Consider the following 8,958-nt stretch of genomic DNA (forward strand, 5'->3'; position numbering starts at 1 on the left):
AAAGGAAGAACAAGAAGGGAGGAGAAGGAGGAGAAGGAGAAGGAGGAGGAGGAGGAGAAGGAGGAGAAGGAGGAGAAGGAGAAGGAGGAGGAGAGAAGGAGAAGGAAGTGCGTTCAGCAGCTTCTAAACTGGCTCCCAGTGATCCCGACCTCTTGCTCTTCACATCTGTGTATGATGTACGGCTAGACCTGGTGACTCGCTTCTAACAAACAGAACATGGCAAAAGCAGTCACTTCTGAAATCTGGCTGTAAAAGACTGTGACTTGTGGCTGGTGCACACATGTTCTCTTTTTGCCTCCTCTGGCTGGCTTACTATGGGAGAGTCCAGCTGCCATGCTGGGAAGTACCCATAGGACAGGCCCATGAGCCAAGGGACCGAGGGCGACCTCCCACCAACATCAAGTGAGGAGCTGAGTCCTGCCAGTGCCCACAGGAGCGGGCTTGAGAGAGAATCCTTTCCCAGTCCAGCCTGGTTCACCCTTTAAACCGCAGCCCTGGAGAGACCTCTAGACAGAGGATCTGGCTAAGCTACATCTGGATTTTTTGTTCCAGAAAGTGTGAGTTTGGGGGTAATTTGCTATTCAACAGTAGACGACTAATACAACCAGGGTGGTCATTCTCACAGCTCACTTTTGATAAATATACAGATAGATAGATAGATAGATAGATAGATAGATAGATAGATAGATAGAGATAAATACAAACAGACATTGATATAGATGGGGTCTCAGACAAAATTTTCATCTTCACGTCCTGTAACAGCTTGCTAAAATAGTCTATTCTCTGCATTTAAATGTCCCTTTATGTGGGATTGGATGTACAAATGATCTTATGCCCATACTGTGCAACTCTTTAAGAGAACATGTAGCAATGATGGTGATGAATATTTATTACTGTCTTAGATGAGAATTACAATCAGCCCTATTTTTCAAATGAGAACTCTGAGACCAAAAGAGGTTATATAATTTACGTAAGGTCACCCCCCCCAGTAAGGGCTGGAACAGAGATTTCATAGCAACCAAACCACACCCAAGAACAGCATTCTCTCCTTTTTCATCCTTTGCGCTCTATAGACCCCAGGGTAATGGTGTGTCGTGGGCTCTTGGCCTTTCTCTGTCTTTCTTTCTTTTTTTTTTTTTTTTTTTGAGACAGAGTCTCGCTCTGTCACCCAGGCTGGAGTGCAGTGGCGCGATCTCGGCTCACTACAAGCTCTGCCTCCCGGGTTCATGCCATTCTCCTGCCTCAGCCTCCTGAGCAGTTAGGACTACAGGCGCCCACCACCACGCCCAGCTAATTTTTTGTATTTTTAGTAGAGACGGGGTTTCACCGTGTTAGCCAGGATGGTCTCGATCTCCTGATCTCGTGATCCACCCGCCTCGGCCTCCCAAAGTGCTGGGATTACAGGCATGAGCCACCACGCCCAGCCTGGGCTTTCTCTTTCTATGACAATAAGTAAATGTGACATTTCTTGCCCCTTGAATTTTAGAAGCAATTTGTAGACTTGTCATATGTATGTTATTATAGGTATTTTTGCTAGCCACGCTGTCACTGTCAAGCTCCTGGGTGAAATAAAATTAGGTAAGTTTTTAGACAAAGCCTTGGTATATAAACTTTTGCTACTCACTGTCTTCAACTCAGGAATGCAATTCATTTGGAATGTGTGCCATCACTCCTGATGCAAGCTTGGTGCCTGACACTCATTATCCCCAGCAGGAACTTCTTGGTGATTTCCACGGTGAGGGACAGTCATGTCAGCACAGAAAAGACACCAAACTTTCGGTTTGATCATCACTAATTACCTCTAGTGGGTGTGATTATGAGAAACTTTTACTTTTCAAATAAATTGGGGAAATGTTTTCATTGTTACAAGCATGTTTACATGACTAATTCTTACAAAATATACCTATAGATAGATGCTTCTTGTCCCTGTCTCAAGCTTCCCCAAGGGGGTTTTGCCTGAATATATGGAAACTGATGCCCTAGGAGATGTGAACATCAGCTCTGTTTCCCTTCTTCCTATTTAAAGATCTGGGCTGGGCACGGTGGCTCATGCCTGTAATCCCAGCACTTTGGGAAGCCAAGGCAGGAGGATCACTTGAGGCCAAGAGTTCAAGAGCAGTCTGGGCAACAGAGTAAGACCCCCATCTCTACCAAAAATAAAAAATAGAAATAAATTAGCCAGACGTGGTGGTGCATGCCTGTAGTTCCAGCTACTCAGGAGGCCGAGGTGGGTAGATTGCTTGAGTCTGGGAGGTCAAGGCTGCAGTGAGCTGTGATCACACCACTGCAATTCAGCCTGGGCGACAGAGCGAGACCGTGCCCACCCCACCAAAAAAAGATCTGAGTTCACCCGAGGGAGGCCTCTGGCTTGCTGGCTGGACGTTCCCCGTTTTAGAGGTGTCCACCCACATGTCACAAGAGCTTTTTAGGTTTTACTATGAAGCAGCAAACAGTTTCCTCCCCAGGCCCTCGGTCACTCAGGGTCCATAGCCGGGTGTTTCCTTTTTTTTTTTTTTTTGAGATGGAGTCTCGCTCTGTTGCCCCGGCTGCAGTGCAGTGGCATGATCTCAGCTCACTGCAAGCTCCGCCTCCCGGTTTCACGCCATTCTCCTGTCTCAGCCTCCCCAGAAGCTGGGACTACAGGCGCCCACCACCACACCTGGCTCATTTTTTGTATTTTTAGTAGAGACGGGGTTTCACCATGTTAGCCAGGATGGTCTCGAACTCCTGACCTTGTGATCCGCCCGCCTCGGCCTCCCAGAGTGCTGGGATTACAGGCGTGAGCCACCGCGCCCCATTGCCAGGTGTTTCTAAGAGTGGGGGGTGGGAACCTTTCCAACGTTTTGCTTTGGGGCTCAGCTTTACTGCTCTTCTCTCTTCTTCCTCTGGAGCTGGCGCTCAGAGCTGGTGAGAGCCCTGTGCTGATGAGGTGTGGTCCTAGTTTGAGGAACCATCGCACCCCAGCAGCCCCGATTCCCACCGAAGACCTTGGTTGGCCACCAGCAGCAACGATTGATCAGCAGAGAGCCCATGAGAGGCAGAATGAACGCACCAGGACCAGTGGGCCTCCTGGAGAAGGCTGCTCAGGTCAGCAGTCGGCTACTGTCGTTTGGTAAAAGGAAAGATAATCTGTTGATTTTTATGCCTTGCTGTAAATGTTTGCTGGTAGCAATCTGTTAGTGTGACAGTCACCACTGTTTTTTATTTTTCTGTATCACTAGAGATGTTCTCTGGAGCTTTAAAGCCTCCTGCAGTGAGAAACTATTACATAAACACACTGTTTGGAGAGGAGAAAATTCCCTATAATTCTTGTTCTCTAGAGGTGTGTGGTGATCATCAGAACCACAATCCTCAGCTCCGTCCTGGGGGCCCCAAATACGGTTCATTCCCTTGGTGTGTTAACCCCCGAACCCCTCATTCTCCGTTTTTAATTTTCCCCTGAAGAAGGAAAGAAGACATTCCCAATGCCTGTGAGGACAGGGCTCCTGGGGTGAGCCTGCCGATTGTGAAGTTTAAGCCACAAGCTCAGTGATCGTCGGGGTTGTAAGGGTGGTGAGGATGAGACAGATGCAGATTCAAGAGTCTGCCCTGCTCTGTGCACCTGGCAGTTCTCTCCTTGGCTCGGGCCTTCCCAGATCCTGGAATACTGAACTTTAAGTGGTATCACAGTCACACTGCAGCCACAGAGTCAGGCCGTCTCAGTGTTGGTTTGTCTGTCTTGTGACAAGGGCACAAAAGATCCATGACTCCTGCAAGCGGGGAGGTTTGCCGAGAGAGAGGTGCGCACTGCACGATTAAAGTGTAACCTGAACCACTGCCCTGCAGACTGTGTCAGAGCTCGCGTGTGTGTGCCTGTGGGGGTGTGTGTGTAGGTGCGCACGTGGAGTGTATGTGTGTGAGCACATGCATGTGTGCTGGGGGGATGTTAACAGCTTCACTGAGGGGTAATTGACATACGATCACACTGTGTTCAAAGTGTAGAATCTGACAAGTGTTGACGTATGTATACACCCATGAAACCAACACTATACAGTGAACACGTCCATCCCCCCCAGAGATTTTCCTGTGCTTCTTTGTGATCCCTCCCTCCTGCCCCTCCCACTCTGCCCCACCCCAGGCAATCACTGATCTGCTTTCTGCCACAATACGAAGATTTGCAAACCGCTTATAATAACCATTTCTGAGCCCAGCAGGCAAATACTTTCTTTTTGGCGGGTGGGCCTTTCATTGATTGTTTAAACTTCTCAATTCAGAGAGAGAGGGGGAGAAAAGAGGACAGGAAAGACTGGTGTGGGCCCCTTCTGCGAGGCCTGGCCTTAACCACAACCCCAGCCTGGCTCAAGTGCCCTGGAGCCTCTGCCCACAGGACAGCCCTGACTTCCCCTCTCCAAGCTTTGCAGGGCCCTCATTACCTTTCCTGGTCAGGCTCTGTACAATCTGGGACTCTTAGCCAGTCCTGACACCAAAACAACAAAAACCAGAGACAGGGGGATTGGAGCCAATCCCTGCAACCTCTCTCTCATTCCTGCAGTGCTGACCTGCTAAACCAGGTACTTCCCTCTCTTTCCTTTCTTAGGGCTTTGCTCCTGGCGCTCTGCTCCTCTTCATTCTGGATCTCTCCTTTACTTGCTTCTCTCCCACCTTCTGCCACCCCTGCAGCCCATGGCAATGCAAACAGACTCATGTGTGTCCTCAGTCTGTTTGCAGAACCATAGCCCTGGCCTGGCTCTGCTCAAGGGCACCCTCCCTCCATTCGCCAAGTCCCGCACCTGCGGGATGCAGGTGGGGCTGGGAATGGGCACTCCCCTGACCCCACTCCAGCATCAATCCAATCCCCCTCCGATGCAGGAAGGTTCCAGATGTTGGGGAGCCATGGAAATTGTTCAGTGTACATATGGTGTTCTGGCTTGGGCAAATCATGATGAAGACAATTTTCCCACAAAATAGGAGGGAACATCCGTGATGGTGCCTGGTTCATTTCCTGGCACATGTAGGCATCAGAACACTGAAGGGCTTATACCAGAGATTTATTGGGGTTGTGGAAAAAACAAAAATCGGAAGAGTAGAGTTTAGTAGGCAGATGTAGATTTTAAAAGCTCGGTAAGAGGTACATAAACATTTCTTCAACAGGACACAAAAATCACTAACCCAAAAGAAAAAGATTGGTACATTAGGTGATAGTAAAATTAAGAATTTCTTTTCATCAGTGAGAGAGTAAAAAGGAATATACAGTAGCTAAAAGACCCATATCTGGAATATATAAAGAATTTCTACAAACTAGCAAGAAAACGTTGATGATTCAATAGAAAAAAAAAGAGCCAAAGAAATAAACAGCTAGAAATGGATGGCAGCAATGGTGGTACATCAACGTGAATGTAGCTAATGTCGCCGAGCTGCACAACTGGTAAAAATGGGAGCTGGGTACAGTGGCTCATGCCTGCAATCCGAGCTACTCAGGTGGCTGAGGCAGGAGGATCACTTGAGCCCAGGAGTTCAAAGACAGCCTGGGCAACATAGCAAGACCCCCATCTCAAAAGAAAAAAAGTAAAAATGGTAAATTTTATGTTCATATATATATATAATCAGAGTTAAAAATAATAAAATAATTTAATTAATTGTAAAAAGAAATTAACAGCTGCTTCACAAAAGAAAGAAAAAATAAAAGCAGGAAGGAAAGGGAAGGGAAGGAAGAAAGAAACAAAAAAATGATGTAATTGGCCAAGAAAAAATTAAAAATGCTCAACCTCATAAGGCATCAAGCACATTAAAACCACAGTGAGAAACCAATACTCACCTACCAGAATGTCTAAAACTATAAGGATTGTTAATACTAAGTGCTGGGAGAAATATGAGGTAACTGAAATGCTCATACACTGCTAGTGAGAATGTAAAATAGCACAACCACTTGGGAAAACTCTTTGGCAGTATCTACTAACACCAGCATATTCCACTACCCAGAAATGCCACTCCTAGGCATAGCCCCAAAAGAAATGTGAAAACATGTTCACCAGTGATGTGCAAATGTCCATCAACAGGAGAATGGCTGGCCAGGTGCTGTGGCTCACGCCTGTAATCCCAGCACTGCGGGAGGCCAATCATTTGAGCCTAGGAGTTCAAGACCAGTCTGGGCAACATAGTAAGATCCCCATCTCTACAAAAAATTTTAAAAATTAGCTGGGTGTGGTGGTGCACACCTGTGGTCCTAGCTACTTGAGAAGCTGTGGCAGGAGAATCACTTGAGCCCAGGAGTCAGAGGCTGCAGTGCATCGTGATTCACCTCTGCACTCCAGCCTGGGTGACAGAGCAAGCCCCTGTCTCTAAAAAAAAATAACAATAATAAGTTAATTTAAAAAAAAACCAGGAGAATGCCTAAATACATTGTAATATACTTATAAATGAATTCTTATGGTAATGAAAGTGTATTAGCAACTGCTAAACCCAGCTGATGAATCTCACCAACATGCTGAACAAAAGAAGCCAGATACAGAGGAATTTATACCACATGATTACATCAGACAAGGTTAAAACCCAGGCCAAACTATGGCGTTAAGAGTCAGTGAGCTGCTTAGTGCTTCAGGGAATGGTGCTTGCAGGGAGGGAGGCTCTGGTAATATTCTCTTTCTTGATTTGGGTCTGGTGTCCCAGGTATGCCTACTTTGTGACAATTCATCAAGGTGTACTCGGGGTTGGTAGCTTTTCTGTATATGTATTACACTTCTCTCTCTCTCTCTCTCTCTCTCTCTCTCTCTCTATATATATATATATATATATATTTTTTTTTTTTTTTTTTTTTGGATACAGGGTCTCACTCTGTCACCCAGGCTGGAGTGCAGTGTTGAGATCTAGGCACACTGAAACCTCCGCCTCCCAGGTTCAAGTGATCCTCGTGCCTCAGCCTCCTGAGTAGCTGGGATTACAGGCACGCGCCACCATACCCAGATAATTTTTGTATTTTTAGTAGAGATGGGATTTCACCATGTTGGCCAGGGTGGTCTCAATCTCCTGACCTCATGATCTGCCCACCTCAGCCTCCCAAAGTGCTGGGATTACAGGCATGAGCCACTGCGCCCGGCCTTAAGTTTATTTTTAAAAGCTCCTACTGATTGAAGCATAATTGATTGATTGGTTGGCAGAGTCTCTCTCTGCTGCTCAGGCTAGAGTGCAGTGGTGTCATCTCGGTTCACTGCAACCTCTGCCTCCCAGGTTCAAGCGATTCTCGTGCCTCAGCCTCCCGAGTAGCTGGGACTACAGGTATGCACCACCATGCCTGGCTAATTTTTGTATTTTTTGTAGAGATAGAGTTTCACCATGTTGCCCAGGCTGATCTCAAACTCCTGAGTTCAAATGATCTGCCTGCTTCAACCTGCCAAAGTGCTGGGATTATAGGCGTCAGCTACTACACCCAGCCTGAAGCATTATATTGTATTTAAAACAAACTCTTCTGGCTGGGCCTGGTGGCTCATGCCTATAATCCCAGCCCTATGGGAGGCTGAGGCAGGTGGAACACTTGAGGTCAGGAGTTTGAGACCAGTCTGGCCAACATGGCAAAATCCCGTCTCTACTAAAAATACAAAAATTACCCAGGTGTGGTGGAGAACACTTGTAATCCCAGCCCTATGGGAGGCTGAGCCAGGTGGATTGCTTGAACTTGGGAGATGGAGGTTGCAGGGAGCCAAGATCATGCCACTGCACTCCAACCTGGGCAACAGAGCAGGACTGTACCTCAAAAACAAAAACAAAAACCTCTTCTCATTGTCATCCTCACGTGTTCTTTTTGCCCCATATAAAATAATCAAAAGCAGGATAGCTCTCAGCAGACTAATTTCCATGTAATGATATGTACATCTCAACAATGCATGCATTCTTTGATTATAAAAGAATAAGCATTATTGATTCTGGAATTGATTGATAAAAGGAAGGGTAGGTCTTCAAACCAACAAATTGGCCAATGGATAAAAGTGCAAACTGCCAAGCGGAGAAAGGTGGGCACCAGCCATATTTTCTTTTGAATCTTTACTTTGATTTATGGAATGAGGGTGTTCTTTCCCTTAAAGAGATGTGCAGCTCCGTAGAGCAGATAGGAAAGATATTTTCCATGTGTAGGCAGGTTCCTTTCCTACAGAACTTGTGTAGGCAGGTTCCTTTCCTACAGAATCCCATGTGGACCCACTCTTACCTAAGGCCAGTCCTGGGCATAGGGCAGGAGCTAAAGCCAGGAAGCTGGTGTCTTGCCTTTGCCAGACCAGGTGGCCTGTGAGAGGTTCCATTCGATTCTGTTCAGTTCTTCATGGCAACAACTCCTTATCATGTTACTTATGCTGAGCCTTGGGGATCCAAAAATAAATTAGATGTGGCTCCTGTTCTCAAGGGCAGTGTCTTAGTCTGTTTGGGTTGCTGTAACAGAATACCATAAATTGAGTGGCTTATTAACAGCAGAAATGTACTATTCACACACACACTCTGGTGGCTGAAAGTGCAAGATCAAGGCGCTGGTGGATGTGGTGTCTGGTGAGGGCCGACTTTCTCTTTCATAGATGGCACCTTCTCACTGTGTCCTCGAATGGCGAAGGGGCACAGGAGCTCCCTGGAGCCTCTTTTATAAGGGCATTAATCCCATTCATGAGGTGTCCACACTCATGACCTAAACACCTCTCAAAGACCCCACCTCCTAATACTATCACATGGATGATTAGGTTTCAACACATGAGTTTCGGTGGGGGACCACATACATTCAGACCATAGCAGGCAGTACAAAGGAGGAGGAGATTAGAAGATGAGGTCATGATACAAAGGATGAATAATGCTATAATAGACTATGACCCTGGACAAGTGGCTTAACTTCTCTGCGCCTCAGTATCCTCATCTGTGAACTGAGGATAAGGTAGTACCTCCTCCACAGGGTTGTTTTAAGGGTCAAATGAGATTAAACACGTGCCCAACACGACCATTGCTCAGTAC

The sequence above is a fragment of the Homo sapiens genome, chromosome 6 (genome assembly GCF_000001405.40).
Source record: "Homo sapiens chromosome 6, GRCh38.p14 Primary Assembly".
NCBI lineage: Eukaryota > Metazoa > Chordata > Mammalia > Primates > Hominidae > Homo > Homo sapiens.